At 58.6% G+C, this 15,976-nt stretch overlaps 1 protein-coding gene and 2 long non-coding RNA genes across 10 annotated transcripts in view, besides 7 other annotated features; 1 reads left to right on the forward strand and 2 right to left on the reverse strand.

Annotated features, from left to right (window-relative positions):
- Positions 1 to 435: 435 nt before the first annotated feature.
- On the reverse strand, positions 436 to 5,128 carry LOC124904949 (uncharacterized). The gene is made up of 2 exons (XR_007067711.1): positions 4,444 to 5,128; positions 436 to 4,137 (listed from the first exon to the last, which is right to left on the reverse strand). It is a non-coding gene; the product is annotated as an uncharacterized LOC124904949 (long non-coding RNA).
- Positions 4,782 to 5,731: a silencer, noted in NCBI's record as "silent region_13116". NCBI's record gives its function as "represses an Ori minimal core promoter by ATAC-STARR-seq in GM12878 lymphoblastoid cells {active_cell/tissue: GM12878}" and the evidence as "EXISTENCE:reporter gene assay evidence [ECO:0000049][PMID:35858748]".
- SLCO4A1 (solute carrier organic anion transporter family member 4A1) overlaps positions 5,294 to 15,976 on the forward strand; it is a 48,238-nt gene continuing 37,555 nt past the window's right edge. For all 7 annotated transcript variants that reach the window (XR_001754251.3, XR_007067450.1, XM_005260203.4 and 4 more), the window contains exon 1: positions 5,294 to 5,344. The gene's annotated coding sequence lies outside the window, so the exon portion shown is untranslated. The remainder of the gene's footprint in view (positions 5,345 to 15,976) is intronic.
- Positions 10,932 to 11,505: an enhancer, noted in NCBI's record as "H3K4me1 hESC enhancer chr20:61279493-61280066 (GRCh37/hg19 assembly coordinates)". NCBI's record gives its function as "activates a minimal SCP1, AML or CMV promoter by ChIP-STARR-seq in primed H9 embryonic stem cells {active_cell/tissue: H9 hESC(primed)}" and the evidence as "EXISTENCE:reporter gene assay evidence [ECO:0000049][PMID:30033119]".
- Positions 11,752 to 14,977, reverse strand: SLCO4A1-AS2 (SLCO4A1 antisense RNA 2). Of its 2 annotated transcripts, none has more exons than NR_183965.1 (2): positions 14,601 to 14,977; positions 11,752 to 14,299 (listed from the first exon to the last, which is right to left on the reverse strand). It is a non-coding gene; the product is annotated as an SLCO4A1 antisense RNA 2 (long non-coding RNA). The 2 variants fall into 2 exon arrangements; NR_183964.1 differs by having other exon boundaries at positions 11,752 to 14,317.
- Positions 14,089 to 14,388: an enhancer, noted in NCBI's record as "active region_18210". NCBI's record gives its function as "activates an Ori minimal core promoter by ATAC-STARR-seq in GM12878 lymphoblastoid cells {active_cell/tissue: GM12878}" and the evidence as "EXISTENCE:reporter gene assay evidence [ECO:0000049][PMID:35858748]".
- Positions 14,399 to 14,488: an enhancer, noted in NCBI's record as "active region_18211". NCBI's record gives its function as "activates an Ori minimal core promoter by ATAC-STARR-seq in GM12878 lymphoblastoid cells {active_cell/tissue: GM12878}" and the evidence as "EXISTENCE:reporter gene assay evidence [ECO:0000049][PMID:35858748]".
- Positions 14,669 to 14,848: a silencer, noted in NCBI's record as "silent region_13117". NCBI's record gives its function as "represses an Ori minimal core promoter by ATAC-STARR-seq in GM12878 lymphoblastoid cells {active_cell/tissue: GM12878}" and the evidence as "EXISTENCE:reporter gene assay evidence [ECO:0000049][PMID:35858748]".
- Positions 14,959 to 15,088: a silencer, noted in NCBI's record as "silent region_13118". NCBI's record gives its function as "represses an Ori minimal core promoter by ATAC-STARR-seq in GM12878 lymphoblastoid cells {active_cell/tissue: GM12878}" and the evidence as "EXISTENCE:reporter gene assay evidence [ECO:0000049][PMID:35858748]".
- Positions 15,269 to 15,458: an enhancer, noted in NCBI's record as "active region_18212". NCBI's record gives its function as "activates an Ori minimal core promoter by ATAC-STARR-seq in GM12878 lymphoblastoid cells {active_cell/tissue: GM12878}" and the evidence as "EXISTENCE:reporter gene assay evidence [ECO:0000049][PMID:35858748]".

Consider the following 15,976-nt stretch of genomic DNA (forward strand, 5'->3'; position numbering starts at 1 on the left):
GGCCAGGGATCTCTGCACACGTCCAGGGAGCTCTGCACATGGTCAGCCAGCTCTGCACACGGCCAGGAACTCTGCACACCATCAGGGATCTCTGCACACAGCCAGGAACTCTGCACACGGTCAGCGAGCTCTGCACACAGCCAGGGAGCTCTGCACATTGTCAGGGAACTTTGAAAGGGCTGGGCAGGTCACCTTCCTTTCACCCCCAAGTGAGTGAGGCTGCAATGGGGTGTCCATGTCCTTGGACAAAGCTCCAAAGCTTCTAGCTTCTCTGAAGCTCACAGAGGTGTCAGCTTGGTGGGGAAGGTGCCAAGGCAGGGCCCTGGAGATGGGGACAGGGACTGCCCACTTCCATTTGCCAAAGTCTCAGCAAATGAAACATGAGGGAATGAATGCTCAAAGAGGGCTGCAAACAATCGCCAACAAGGTAAATGATTACATTTAACGCTTTTACTGTAAACACTCTCAATGCAATATAATCTTGCTAGTCATGCTGGGTGGGCCGGGATGAGAGTTAGCAGAAGACCTGATGGGTCTGTGCCTCGGCGGGTCCGGACTGCATGCACAGTTGTATTGGAAGCTAAGATAATCACTCACCTAACACGAGGCCCTTCCAGAATGTGAGGTCTCAGCCAAGTGAACCCTGTGAACACCTCCACCCCCAGACCCGCGGGGAGGCTCAGGAGCCAGGCAGACCGAGGCAGTTCCAGAAGCCCTTGGGCTGGCAGACGTTTGCCTCTTTGTAAGTAAGAGTGTATGCAGAAGACCTCACAAGCAGATCACCAGTGAAATTCAGATGACCCTTCTAGAGAGGCTGTGGGCAGCCAAGGCCCCAGGTGTGGACAGGGCTGCTGCTCTCCAGGTGCTGGGGGCCCCAGCATGTCTCTTCCTACAGCTCCATGTGCCTTTGCCACGGAGCCACCGGCATTCAGTGGCCTCTTCCCCACTTGGCTGCTATGTGTCCCCTGGAACTCAGGGCACTCCAGGTGTCCTCAGGTCATGTCTCAGAGCTCAGGGCCATCTCGCCAGGCAGGGAAGTCCAGATTCCAATTTTTTCTACCCCACACCTAATCTCTAACAGCAGGCTCTGAACACACAGGAATCAGTTGGTGGCTTCTAAAGAGAACATGATACCGTCATGTAGCTGCCTGTCCAGACGCTGAAGCCTGTGCTTTCACCGGACCCTAGTGCTTGTGAATGACGACCTCTGTTCTCCTGGGTCAAAACTTCCTTCACCACCGTCAAGAAGGCCACCCTTTGTCGGCGGGTTAAATGCAGTGTTATTTACATATGGTTTATCTGGGCATCTATAATCCCAGGGCGAGAGCCCACCATCCACCAGCATTTTGGAAGAACGCCTGAGACCTGAGACCTGAGACCTGGTGCAATGGAATCAGATTCCCTGGTAGCTGCTTTTAATGGTGACAGATTCTCTGAAACAGAAAAAGATTGAATTGAGTCTGTCTCCCTGGAGTCGTCCTGCTCTGGGAGATGCAGAGGGAGGGCGGCAGGAGGGAGGACAGTGGGAGGCCTCTGTTGGTCAATTGCTAGGCTGCTGTCACCAGATGGTGGATGGCGTTTGTACAGCACTGGCCAAGGGCCCAGCTCAGCAGGGCCAGAGCCTCAGGTCATGTCGCAGGTGAGCAAAGCAGCGTGGATGGAAGACGAAGATCTTCGTCCCACGGAGGGCTTGCTGTGCGCCCCGCAGGACGCAGATCACCGGGAAGAGCAGGAAGCAGAAGCGCAGGAAAGCCAATGCTGTGACTGAGGCGTGGCCAGCAAGCCAGGCCCTCCAGCCACACCCTGCTCCAAAGGGGCTCCGACAGGATGGACTGATGATTTCCAAGAGAGAACATGCTTTTTATCTTCTATGGAATTTTGCTACCAAAGAGCCTCCCAGCTACCTGTGCCCTTCCCTAACCTGACAATCTTAATTCCCCCATGAAACTCCTCCATCGCGGACATTTGGACAACTCCAGGCTGAGTTTTTCCTAAGGCCACTCTGGCCTTGTGCGTCTCTTCTTTGCTAAGCTGTGTGCCAGCCGCCAGCCCACATCTGGGTTGTACCATGATCCTAACTCCTCACCTGAACACAGCATTTAACAGACTGAAACGTGCCACTCTGGAGCTGGGGACTTCAAGCCACATTTCGCCTGCAGCCCGATCGCCTTCAATCTTTAGCAAAATCCTCTTTCTCATGCAAAACAGTGCAGTCGTAACTTTTAAAATATTTTTTAGAAACTTTCTCTAGAGCCTCCACCACATGGCCACAGCCTGAGACTTTGAAATAATGAAACAATTAAATGATGTTTTCATCATTTCTGAGACTTGCCCATTATCACGAAGCTGAAATGGCCATTTTTTTATAAGTCAAGGAAGGACAGGCAGTTTCAAATGAGTTGGCTAAGACATACGCCAAATTCATAGAAAATAGAAATGAACTATGACTACAGAATGGAAGCAACCACAGAAATATTAGCAGGATTTTAAGTATTATCCCAATCAAGTACTAATAGCTAAGTGAGGTCATTTTTTGGATACCATTCCTGGTCAAAGCTAGGAATGATGTGTGTTCCAGGCTGGACCCTCCAGGCAGAGGCACCGGGATCCCACGCTGTTTCTGGGTTGGCCATTAACCTGCCCCTTGACCTGACAGCGTTTCTCTCTCTTCTCTCTCTACACTTCTCTTCTGATCTTTAGATCGATTTTCCTCCAAGTGACAATGTCCATAAAGAGAGAGGGAGGTGGAAATACAGGCTGTCACATTTCAGCTCTTTGAGGTGCCTCTAAAGATGATGTCAGAGAACAGTAAGTGGCCCACAAATGTGCAGCATCTGTTCCGAGCCTCCTGAAGCCGCCCGGACAGGCAGCAGTACGACCCTGCAAGGCCACAGGGGAGCCAGGGGGTTCTCGCTTTCTTTTTCTTTTAATTATTTCCTCTCAAAAAAGAAAAAAAAAAAAGAAAAGAAAGAAAAAAAGCCCTGCTGGGATAGAACTTATTGAGTTCAGAATGTTCCAGGGCACATAATCAGGCTGCCCTTGTTCCAAGACACTGCTGTGCTCTGTAGCTGACCCCCGAGTCCTCTAGGGCAAGAGTAAGGACACAGTCGGCTCCCGAAAGCTGGTGCAGATGGACCCCACCACGCAGGGCCTGGAGTTGGGCCAGACCTGCAGACCCCCTTGATGGCCTGCGGCAGGACCCTTCACCTGGGTCAAGGCCTCCTGGTGCTCCTAGGGGCCTCTTGAGGAGCCTGGGCACCAGCATTTGCCTTTGAGGACAGGACTGAGGGCCTGCATTTTGCACGAATGTACCTGAAATGTTTGCTCTGGATTTACCTTTCCAATGGTGCCTATGCAGGAATCCCAAAGAATGCCTGGTGGGGTCTGAGGCGGGTCTCAGGCCGGGAGCCCTCCACAGGCAGCAATATTTGGCTAGAATTTAATGCCATTTTGTTTCTTTTTATCTATTTTTATGGTGACCTCTTTGTGGTAATTGACACTGACTTTTTAAAAAATAAACTTACCCTTTTAATCAAATGTGTGAATTGTTTAAAGGAAAAACATTGTGTAAATAATGTTTTCAGGGGGTAGAATCCAGACGTGAGTTTTGGAAACAGAGTCCAGTCCTGCTTCTGACATTTGAATTGCTTCTCCAGCATCATCACCAGAAGATGGGCTACCTGTGCTCACAAGCCTCCTGTAACACGGAGCTCACCACCTCTCAAAGGCACCTTCTGTCAGGTCTGCCTGGAAATGCTGCTCCCGCAGACTCCGCACCTGAGGCCAGGTCTGCAGCGAAGCTCATCCACACCTGAGGCCAGGTCTGCAGCGAAGCTCAGCCCCCTTCCTTCACAGGAGAAATACTTCTGGGTGTGCACCTTCCACTCCTGGCAGGGCCGTGAGCCCCTGTGGCAGTGCCTCACCCTCTGGGAGGGACCCTCTCCATCTGGGAACAATGTGGGTACTTTTTTCTCTTAAAGGGCAGTGTCAGGAATGAAAGCAGATACCCAAAAGCAGTGGGTCTCGTGGCCTCGTGTCTGCTTCCAGAAGTGGAGGGCGGCCTGGGACGGCGGGAGCCCTGAGGACACCACCGGGGGGGTCCCGGGACCTGATACGAGTGGGCAGGAGCCCCAAGCCCTGGAGGAAGGAAAACCATTTCATAAATAACTGCATGGGGTTGTGGGCCTTTTCTCACAAGCCGCAGCACCTCCTTCGTCTCTCCACGGTGAACCCGCCCGCCACGCTATGCCACCAGGCCAGGTCCTGCAGCACCGCCTCCGTGGCTAGGACTTCCTCACCAGCCTGGGGCCGTGAGGTGGTCATTTCCCCCCTTACCTGACTTATCTCAGGATTCACACACACACACTTGACTTTCGGAAACTTCTTTTAAATTAATTTCACTGACACTAAAAGGGAAGCTTTGTGGAGTGTGATTGTGGTTACCTGTTAATACTTGGCAACAATTATGAGCCCTGATATGAGCCAACTTCTTCCGTCTTATCCCCTTTGAGGACGCTCTGTTATCGCCCCCATTTTGCAAACGAGGAAACTGAGGCTCGGAGGCCTGGAGCAATGTGTTCCAGGACAGACGGCAGGAAGCCGGGGTAGGAATTCCAACAGGGAGTTCCCTCTGTGGAAGGGAACGTGGCTGGCACCTCCCTGCCTTCCACCCTCAGAGCTAGTGTGAAAAAGAAGACGGGGTTATGGAAAAGGCAACGGGCTGGAGATTCCCCGGATTCCCAGGCTAGGGCGCCGGTCTCACTGTGCGCGCAGGTGGGGCGCGTGCCAGAACAGGGCCTGGGGGTCAGGCCGAGACCGGCGGGCACCTTCACCAGGGCCGCCCGTGGCGTTCCCCCAGCCCCTCTGCCGCGGGCCCCACGTGGCCCCGACCCTGCGGCAGCCTTTCGGAAGGGCGGAGCTGAAAAACGGCCGCTTGGCTCCACTCGGCCCCACAGCGCCCAGGAGCGAATCCCGAGTCCGTTCGGAACCGCCTCGCCGCGTGGCCTGGGGCGGCGTCGCCACCGCGCGTTCTCGGCCTCCCGGCTGCGGCAGCGATGCCGGTCCTTGGAGCTGGAGCGGGGAGTCCAGGAGGCGGCAGCGCTCCGGAGAGAGACGCCCTGGTCCCCCGCCGCGCGTTCCCGCCTCTGTGCCCTGGGGGGGAGGAGGGGGCGGTCGCCGCTGCCATTGGCCGTGGGGGGTGAGGCGGGCCCCGCGCAGGAAACCCCGCCCCTCCCTCTGCGGCGGGGGCGGCCCCAGCGGATGAATGAAGCGGCGCGTGGCTGCCGGGGAGGCCAGAGCGTGGAGCGCTGCGCGGCGCGGCGGCCGGGCCCTCGAGACGGGGACGGTGAGTGCGCGGGGAGCGGGGAGCTGGCGCGGGTGCACAGGGCCCGACCTGCTGGCGTAGGAGCGCGGCAGGTGCCGCCATCGTGGGCAGGGGCTGGAGCGCCGGGGGGATGCGCGCGGGGGCGGGAGGCCTGGGCACCGGCCGAGCGCCCCGAGCCTCTCCGCGGGGGAGGGCAGGACCGAGCGGAATCGGAGGCCAAATTCGCCGCTTCCCGCCGCCGGCTGCGCAGGTAGGAGCTCCCGAGTCGCCCGCAGGAGGACCGAGGCGAAGGGGCCCCACGCTGCAGCGGGTGCCGGGGGGAAGCGGGTGAGCAGGGGCTGCGGCCCTGGCAGGGACTGTCGGAGTGGCCGGGGCAGGTGACCTGGGCAGGTGGCCCGGAGCGCGCGCAGGCGCAGGCCCCACAGATCCAGCTGGGGACGAACGCGCCTCCGCGGAGCTCCAGAGTTGCGGAGTCACCCACCTGCGGCGGCCGCTGCTGCCGAGTCAAGGAGGAAACCTTCATGCACGGAAGTTTCTCGGGGGCGGCCGGGCTTTGTTCGCGCCAGAGGCGCTCGAGACATCTCCGGGAGGGGAGCGCGGGCGGAGCGCACAGGGCTAGTTTCCAGCAGCGGCGGCGCCCCTTTCCCTGCCCCACCACGCGACGTCCTGGCCGTGGCTTGGGGGGACCCGGGCGCCCTCCAGGTGCAGGCAGAGGGTCGGGTGCCCTCGCGTTGCTGTTGGGCTCCCCTGACCAGGGAGGATGGAAAGGAAGGAGCAGGCAGGCTTAGCTGCCCTAGACCGGCCCTAGACCGGGAACCTGGAAGCAGATCTGACTTCCACTTCCAAGGGAGAAACCGCCTCCCGCACTGGCGCCCCGAGGGGAGAGAGAAGCCCAGCTAGGTTTCCGCGTGGTCCGCGTGGTTGGTGAACCCTCAGGCTGGGGGGTGCCCCGCTTGGCGTGCAAGGCCCTCTTTGGAGCTGCCGTGGGACCTGGCTATGCGTCCTGTTTCTGTCTGGAGGCGGCTGGAACGCGGTAGTTTTCCACATCCATGCAACCAGCTTGTCAGCTGCTGCTCCTCAGCTGTGGTTTTTGGAACTTGGGTTACCTCCATCTAATCAGAAACTGGCTCTGCAGAGCCCGGTGTCAGCGACGTTTTCATTCCCAGCAGCGGGAGCAAATGGATCTCAGAGGACAGCTCCTTGGCCTTAGCCGGCTCCGCTTGTGAATCTGGTAATAATGACAAGGACAGTGACAGCAGGGGTTAGGTGTTGAGTGCTGGAATGTGCCGGGCATGGTACCCCTGCTTTGAGCATCGTCTCATTCAGTCCCTAGCAACCCCACGAGGTGGCCATTATCACTCCCACTTTATAGATGAGTAAACTGAGGCACCAAGAGGTTAAGTGATTGACTCTAGGCCACACAGCTTGTAAGTGCTGAAGAGGTCTGACTCCAGGTTTGTCTGATCCAGGCTTGGGCTCCTGTTTTACGACTCTGTTCTTAAAGAGGCAAAAGGCGACTGCAGGGTCAGGCCGGAGACCCAGAACAGCGTCCCAAGAGCTGGGCCTGCGGTTACTGGGCCAGAGTGTCTGTTCTGGGTTGTCAGTGATCGCAGGACACCAGTAGGATGTTGCTCGGGCCGAGACCACACAGCCCGACTTCCCTCTGTGCTGCTGGAGGGAGCCAGGGCAGAGGCCGGCCACTCGGTGAGACCTGGACGCTGACCACAGCCAGGCTGCCCTGACCGCCCTCAGCAGGCTGTGTCCTGCCTTCCTGCTGGGCAAGGTCAGCAGGTGGTGCCTGGAAAATTCTTCATGAGGGAGCTTCCCTCCCGAGTGGCCGTGACCTAATCTGTAGCTCACTGGGTGTGGCCCCTAAAGCAGGTGCTGGGCAAGTCCCTCCCATGGTGGAGAGCTGGCTGGGCACGTGGCAGGCAGGGCAGGCTGGGCCAGGTGAAGGGTGGCCAGGTGGATGGACATGCTCTCCTTGCTAGACTAAGCCCAGAGAGGCCGGCTCTCCTCGGGGCTCTGATGGGCCCCTTGGCTTGACCAAGCCCCATTGCAGTTTTGGCTCCAGGTCGGTCTGACTTCCAAATGGCAAAATTTTTCTCAGCCCATTGTAGAATGAAAAGTTAACTCATCGAGCTTAGTATTGTGCCTACAAGGTCTTCGATCCGGATGTCTCCATGAGTGTTAATCCATTTCTGGGGTGGGTACTGCTGAGCCAATATACATTCCTGGCTTCCTGGACTCGTCCACTGGAACGTGTTGGGTCCTGGTGCTCTCCCCAGCAGATGGTTGTAGGTGGTCAGAGATGAGCCACAGAAAAGCCAACGTGCAGCCTGGTGCTGGGGGCAGGAGGGAGCAGGGCCCTTGGAGCTCTGGGAGAGAGCCACGCCAGGCCAGCCCTCCTGCTTCCTCAAGCGGGCTGTGGACAGAGGCCACAAAACGTTCCCTCACGAGCCACATGACTGCCTCATTTGCAAGTGGCAAGGTGCACACTGTTGGCTTTTGGACAAGGACATGGGACAGTCCTCAGACCTTGCTGTTGCCTTCGTTCTGGGACATGGACCACTGTCTGGCCCCCCAGTGAGCTTGCTGAGTGTCAGCTGACTTCAGGCAGGATCTGGGTCTTGCCCACTTGTTGGAATGGGCACGTGGGGATTGCACCCCTTGAACAGGGAGGGAGGTGCCAGTAACTCACATGCTAGGTTAACAGGTTCTGGGTGACTCTGAGCCTTGGCCCTGCCAGGGGTGTGAGGAGGAAACTGGCCCTGCTGCTGGGACAACAGACTCTGGGCGTGTCCTCCTGTGGGCCTCTGCAGAGGAAGCAGACTGGGACTACAAAGAACAACCTGGTCCTGGGGACCCTGCTGCCTTCTCTGGCCCCTGCTGGCCCTTCAGGCTACGGTGAGGGTGAGGGTGCGGGTGAGGATGAGGGTGCGGGTGAGGACCCACCCACACCCGCACCCTCACCCTCATCCTCACCCGCAGCCTCACCCTCAGTCCTCAGACACTGGGGTCTCCGGCTGTCTCCAACCCTTCAGTTCTTTTCAGTAGCCTCCTTCCCACCAGCATCACACAGAATTAGACCCTGGGACTACATTTCTGGCGGAAGGTGACTGCTTTTTCAAACCACGTGCCTTCTGCAGAAGCCGCTCCCCACGTAGCCCAAGCGTAGGGTGAGACTTGGCACCAGTGGCTGGGGTCGCTTTTGGGTGCCAGAGAGCCCAGATTCCTCTCCCTCCCACGCGCAGCCAGGCCCTTCCTGCCCACGGACCTTGCCTTTTCTTGGTGGTTTTTCTAATCTGGCAAGCCTTGGGGGGCACCTGAGGCATTGCCCCTCTGGCCCAAGCCGCAGGGAGAGCTTGCGATGCTTTGGGTGGCGTGTGTCGTCCAGTCTGCCCCAGGCTCACTTGGGGCCCTTGCATTTGCCACTGGACTCTGCCTTTCGGGAGGCGCTGTGGACCTGAGATTTGGACCCATGGGCCTAGGAGGCCACCTGGGAGGAGAGTGGCCCAGCTGTGCCAGGCAGGTTCCTCATCTGGACAGAACCTGCTCCCTGCAGCCTCTCAAGCTCCCCGAGGGCCCTTCTGGGTCTTGTCTCTCCCACACATTGGGGGTCAGGTTTGAGCCCCTTTGCTGGCGGACCTCTGAGCTGCCCGCCCTTCCCTCCCACCACCCGCCCTGCCTCCTGTGGTGCACAGGGCTCTCCTGGAGGAGGGAGGTCCTGGGCATCCCCTGCCTCCTCACCTTCACCCTCAGGAGTCCCAGAGCCCTGGCTGCTCTGCACAGCAGGCTGGGAAGCAGGCCCTGTGCCCAAGGACTAGCCTGAGAACTGGGGAGGTCCTTTCCTCTTCCCCAGAGGACAAAGAGAGCTGTGAACACCACGGGTCTGTAAAGGGGTCCCCCCACATGCAGGAAAACATGAGTTGTGGCATCACTTACGCCTTCACTCACCAGTAGCCGAGGCACAGCGGGGGTCCTGAGCATGGGCAGGGCAAGCCACTTCCACCCCAGCCATGGAAGGAGGCTGAGGAGGCCAGGGCAGCAGTGGGGACCTGCGGCAGGCAGGGCCTGCAGGGCTCCGGGGCCGGACAGGGTGGATTTCCATTCTGAGTCTGTTTCCCATGAACTCCAGTGCTGACTGGGCCCACTTTGAGTAGGACGCTCAGTGGCTCATTCTCATTCTCATGATGTCTCTGTTATGGGTGGAAACTGAGGCAGAGAGAGGCCCGTGACCTGCGTGGCTTGGAGCCAGCCTCCGTCTTCTTCTCAAACATGCCCTTGAATGGCAGGAGAGTTTTCAGTTCCATGGATGGGATGATGAGTCGGAAGGAAGAGTAAACCTGCACACACCCGTGGCTTCACCCGTCCTCCCCACGCTCCCAGGTTCAGTGGGTGGAGACTGGGTGCAAGCAGGTTGAGGGACAGGTCCTTCTGGGCTGGCCCTGCTGCCGCACCCTGGCTCCCTCTTGCTCAGACAATCCTTCATTGTCGGCCCCATACAAAGCAATGGCTTCCTGCCTGCTCGCCTGTGCGAGGTCACCAGGTATGCAAATTGGGGTGTACCAGGCACAGCTGAGGCCCCCATATGCTGATCCCAGAGTCTGTGCCTCAAGCTAAAGAAGTGAAAGCTCCTTTCATTCATTCATCCAGCTTGAGGAAGAGACCCTGGAGTGAATTTGGAGATAGAGGAGAGAGTCCCAGGTGTCTTGGGGGGCTGGTGTGGCAGGGGAGGCAGCTGAAGATGGTGTGGGGAGCAGGCAGGTGCTCAGGGCGGGGCTGGGTGCAGGGCAGGCATGTGGCTGTGGCTGGCAGCCTCAGAGCCGTCAGGTGCCAGGAGGAGGGACTCGGCTTTGCCAGGCAGTGCCTGGGCTGGAATCTGAAGAGAAAGGAGAACTGAGACCCTATGGTCCTGCCTGGCCTCCAAATTCTGAGTGGGGCCTGGAAGCCGGGACTGGGACATCCCCTAATGTGGAGGGGTGCTACCCACCCAGCCCAGCTCCAGGCCTCCCTGGGGACATTTGCTGGGCCACAGTAGGTCAGCCAGGCCAGGCCCAGGGGCTGGCAAGCTTAAAATAGTTTTCTCAGAGATCCTGCGTCCTTTCCACGCACTGCGCTGAGAGCGCTTTGCAGGGAGCCAGGCTGGGAAGTAAGTGCATGGGGCCTAGGGAAGTAGGTGGGCTTCTAGAAGTGGCACAGGCCGGGCTGTGTCAGCTGCCCACACACGGGGATACAGGCTGGCACCCCAGTTCCCACAGTCTGGGCTGTGCCAGCCACCCGCACGTGGCCACTAGCTCCTCCCAGGTCACTGTCCTGGCTTGAGAGGAGGGGGAGGAAGAGGTCAGCCGGATTCGCCTCTAAAAGACCCTAGCAGAGGAGTCAGGGCCTCCTATCCCGGAGATGCAGCTGACTGACCAGGCCAGCATGAGGAAATCGGAAGAGAACTCTGGCCCCCATGGCCTCCTCCTAAAATAGCGGGCACTGACCCATACACAGGCGCACACGCACGCATACACCCTCCCCAGGCCTGCCCCCAGCCGGAGGCTCCAGGGACACATTATCCCCCGGCTGATCGCCTTGGCCTAATTCACACCCTGGCTGCCAAGGCCTCTGGCAGCAACATCCCCCCTTCCTCCCCTGCGGGGTTGTTGTGGGTTAGAGCAGGGACAGGGCCTGAGGGGGCTAAGCTCCCAGGGAAAGGGCAGCTGGCTCTCTAGATGCACCGGAGGGGCGGGGTGGTTTGCGTTTCTCTCGGGCTGAGAGCCACCTAAGGCTCCGCCTCAGATGTTCTCCCATGGACAGAGGCATCAGGGCAGTGGGGAAAGGATGGGCCGAGAGGTGAGTGGGTGCCCTGGGGCGGGGCAGCCACAGGGGGCCTGAAGTGGCTCACGGGCGGGGCCACCAGTCAGGGCTCCGGGCCTGGGCACATGGGCAGGCTCTGCTTCCAGGGGCTCCTTCCCACCTGCCGGCTGCATGGGAGCCGTGTGGCCGGAGCCCCAGGGGAGACCTTGTCCCTCATTCTGGAGCAGCCGTCAGGAGTACAAGGCCATGGGAGAGGACCCTACTCCATGGAGGTGATGGACCCTCCTCCCGTGATGGGGCAGATTTCAGTAACTGTGTGTGCACAGGAGAGCTCAGCTGGTTCAGGCCTCCAGAAGGTTCCTGGGCAGCGATGGTGGTGGTGTGCTGTCAGAGCCTCCTCCCTAAGCCTGGCTCCCAGGGCCTTGGCTGATGACTGGAATTCACTCCAGGCTCCGGGCCTCTTGTCCCCACCGGCCAGGCGGTTCTGATTCGCAGCCATGGGCAGCTTTTGCACCCAGCTCTCGAGTGACCGCCCCTGGGCTCCTCGTGGGTGCGACAGTGTCCTGGGAGTCCCTGAAGCCCAGGTTTCCCACATAGCAGGCGTTAGGAAGTCGGTACCAAAGTATGGAAGGACTGGCTTGTATTAGTCTGAGTTATCCAGAGAAACACAACCAACAGGATAGGTGGAAAGAGATTTATCCTGAAGACCTGGCTCAAGCACTTATGGAAGGGGCAAGTCCCGAGACCTGTCGTTGGCAAGCTGGAGGCCCAGGAGAGCTGATGGTTTCGGTCCAGTCTGAGTCTGAAGGCCCAAGAACCAGAGAAATGCTGCTGCAGGTTCCAGCCTGAAGGCTGAAGACCCAAGAAGAGCTGGCATTTCAGTCCAAGCCCAAAGGCAGGAAAAGACCGAGGTCCCAGCTGCAGCTGTCACAGGAGGAGGCCCTCTCACTCAGCCTTTGGATCTATGTAGGCCCCCAACTGATTGGACGAGGCCCACCACCCTGGGGAGGGCCACCCTTCACATGCTAATCTCACCTGGAAACACCCACAGCACACCCAGAACGATGCTTGGCTAAATGTCTAGGCACCCAAGGCCCACTCAGGTTGACACATGAAATTCGCTATCACAGTGCTCTTGGCCCTGACCCTGAGACCATCGCACATAGCGTCAGAGGCTGTAGAGTGGGCCCTGCAGAGGCCAGGAAGCAGATGCCCTGGTGTTAGATGCAGTCAGGGTGTTCAGATGAGGATGACAGTGGACTCGACCTGGGATGCTGACAGGAGCCAGGGTGGCCTGGGGGCTGGCCGCTGGCCTGTCCTTCACAGGGGGTGCAGTCTCCTGCACCCCATGGCTGTCCCATCCCTGCCCCGGGTCTCCCACCCCCTCCTCTGCCACGTGGCTGCCACTGCCCGGCCTTCCACAACTGCCTTTCAGCCTCACCCCATCTGCAGACTCCTCATTTGCAGCACCGGGGTTCACCTGCATCTGGCCTCATCAGCAGGTGCAGTCTTATCTGCGTATAAACCAGCCCACCCCATGCAGCCAGCTTGGGATGAGAGGACGGTCATGGGGTCCCCGTGGCCCTTGGAGGGAGGCCTTTGGAAGAGGCAGGTCCTTTGAATTTGGTCTGGGGTCAAGGCTGCCTGCAGCTCCCTCCCCAGCTCCGTAGTGGGGGCTGTATCCATGCATCAGAAGAAGCTGCTGCCTTTTCCGGGGGAAGCTGAGGGTGTGGATCGGAAGAAGCCGCTGCCTTTTCCAGGGGAAGCTGAGGGTGTGGCTCTGGGATGAGGATGAGGCTCCATCCTTCACTGTTACAGGGACCAGCTTGGGAAGCTGACGCACCTTTTTGTCAAAACCAATTCCAAGTGGAAAGAAACTATAGGCAGGTGTGCATGTGTACACACACCTACACAGACGTGCACACACAGGATGCCAGAAAGAAGAATCAAAAGGACAGGCCTCCCTTCTTCCCCAAGCCCAGCTGCAATGTCCTGTTCCCCTTGGTGGGGCCAGTCCAGGGGCTAGGCAGCCTCTACGTGGGGCTGCCATGAGGCCCTTCCAGCCCCTGAAACTCCCCTGCCCCACCCCACACCAGCTTATCCATAATGGGCCTGAGACCAGAAAACCAAAGGTGTGGGCTGCCGAGCTGCCCGCCTTAACGCGGACCAGACATCATTACTCCAGTCTCCATTAGCAGTGAACGCAGAGGTGACGTTCACCTTCTCACTGAGCCATGAGTGCATCTGCCTTGGCCATCTCGGAAGCTAGCAGATCGCAGAAGGAAAGCAACATGTGAGTGGCGCGGGTGGTCCTCATGGGCCCCAGCAGCATTTGTCATTGATGGAACTGATGACCGAGACCAGGATGGGGGCGCTGGCTGCCTCCACCAAGCATGCGTCTGGCTGTCCACATTGCTGGACTCGGCTGCTGCGGCTAAGATGCTTTCATGTCCCACGTTGGGCTGGTTTTCGTGGCAAACGTTAGCCCTGAAATGTAAGTCCTGCACCGCACGTTCAGCAAGGACTCCCTCAGGTCCGGGCCAAGCCTTGACATACATGCTGGGCACCCACTTCTCCAGGCAGAGTTCTCATCCCTCTGGCTCACCAGCTCAGAACGGCACGCTCAGTAAATGCCAGTGCTTAGGACGTATCCATGTGAGGTCTTGGTACAATCCTGGAAACTTCCTTTGGGAAATGCATGAATGTGGGACCCTCCTCATCGCCCTGAGAGTCCAGAGTGTTGCCTGCCCAGCGTCACTCCACAACCCATCTGTCCCCTGGATGGCAGGAGCCAGGCCAGACGCCCCATCATAGCCAGCTTTTATGTTTGCTCCTGTTGTCCTTTAGCCCTGAGTCATGGAAGGCCCACCCTCCCCTTTCCAATCTAGACACCGCTGTTTTAATGGGGAAACGGCCTCCCAGAGAAGATTTCCAGCTTCAGAAGAGAACCCGGAGCTGAAACTCTTGGGCATGATGAAGATGGAATGGGTACTGTCACACACATGCTGCTTGCGTGAGATTCAGATAAGGGAGGCTGGCCCGAAGCCAGGTCGCTGCTGGATCTCAGAAAGACGTCAGAACGAGGCCCCAACGGAAGCCCCTGGAGGTGCACAGCTGGTGAGCTGAGTGGTGCCATGTAATTCTCATCGTCTGCGGCCGTCTGATGGGCATCTGTCGGAAGCCACATGGCTGATATTTAAAAGAGGATTTTAAATTTGCTGATTTAAATGTGCATAATAGGTAACTTTCGGCTGAGCTTTACATATTTATGTCAGAGCTTTTAATTCAGGTAAAACAGCCTTCAGCTTGGAGCTGTTTGGACACCTACAACTACCTGTTCTTTCTCAGTTGTGGCTTTCATTTTCAAGAAGGAAGTCCTTCTGTTTCTCTGTGGCCATTGCTGGTCACGAAACTTAGCAATCTGGCTTCCTCTCAAAGCTATGCAGACGGGATCCTCCCCCTTCCCCCTTACCTGCTTTGGCCCCAGCGTCTGGTCCTGAGGCCAGGGCTGAACAAACTGCCTGTATGAGGCAAGCCCAGTGCCCGGGCGTTGAGCGGGTGTTTCACGGCAGCCAGCGTCTTGGTTCGCAATGGTTTACGTGGGCTTGCCCACCATTGAGCATCCCAGGGACCCCATCAGATCCTTTGCAGAAGTGCTGCCGAATCCGACCCACTCCCCCTGCCCCCGCCTCCCCCACCCTGCCCCGCCCCACACCCCCCACCCCCGCTCGGCCCCCCTCCCCGTGCCAGCACGTGCAGCTAGGCGGAACCTCTGAGCACTCTCCCGCCTGCGTCAGGCTGTTCCTTGGCCCTGTTGAGGCTCCTTCCCTTCATGTTCTGGCCCAGCCCGGAAATGAGGTCAAGTTTCTGCTATTTATGTGTGTGCGTGTGCACGTGTTTGTGTGTGTGGGTGGACCTTGACCTCCAGGCAGTCCTCAGGGTAGTTCTTGGCTCTGTGTTCCTGCACTAAGAAAAACAATGCGAGGGAAACACACCCACAGGCTGCCTGGGGAGTCTGCGTGGCTCTGAGCCTGGCCTGTCCTCCTCCGGGCCTCTGAGGTTGCTTTCTGTTTCGGCGGCCGGCGGCCGGTGGAGCCCTTGCGCCTCCTCGTCAGTCCCGCCCCGGGGCTCTTGCTCCTCCGGCTTTTCCGCTGACTCCTGGCATTCGAGTTCTTGTGTTACACATGCTCCTGGGACGTCATCCTTGTGACAGCTCGCTTCAGTAGAAAGCCTGTGGCTCGTGGGTGGCCGTGGGTGGCTCTCTGCCCCTTGGGGAGGCGTGGAGCATTGCTCTTACAATATGAATGTCTCTCCTTCCACGCACACTCCCTTTCTGACGCAGCAGGTCCCAAACCAGCCTGGCCTGCCAGCTCGTGGATAGGTGTTGGCATTGTAAATAAACCCCCGGGTGTGGCCGCGGGCACCCAGGGAGCAGGCCCCAGGCATGAATGCTGTGGAATCTCTGCTGTCCGAGGCCTCCAAATACGGCCTCAAACAGCCTCCCGGCAGTGTCCAAGGTCAACAGCGGCTGCACGTGAGTGCCACACGAGCGTGCACGGCTCTTTCAGTAGGTGTCAGAAGGCAGCTGTGACGCAGACGCTTGGCTCTGGGGCCAGACTGCGGGGGCTGCATCCTCATTGCCACCGGCGGGCTGTGTGGCCTCGAGCAAATGACTGACCCCCCTGGGCCTTCTTCCCCTACTGTGAGGCCTGGGACGGTGCCTGGTACACAGCTGGTGCTCAGTGTGCACAGCGGGTGTTAGCACCCTGCCACCCAGCGGGATTCTTCACAGCAGCTGCCCGCCTTCGTCCCAAGGAGCCTGGGGCTGAGGCATCCATTCGCTGAGAG

Source organism: Homo sapiens, chromosome 20 (genome assembly GCF_000001405.40).
Source record: "Homo sapiens chromosome 20, GRCh38.p14 Primary Assembly".
NCBI lineage: Eukaryota > Metazoa > Chordata > Mammalia > Primates > Hominidae > Homo > Homo sapiens.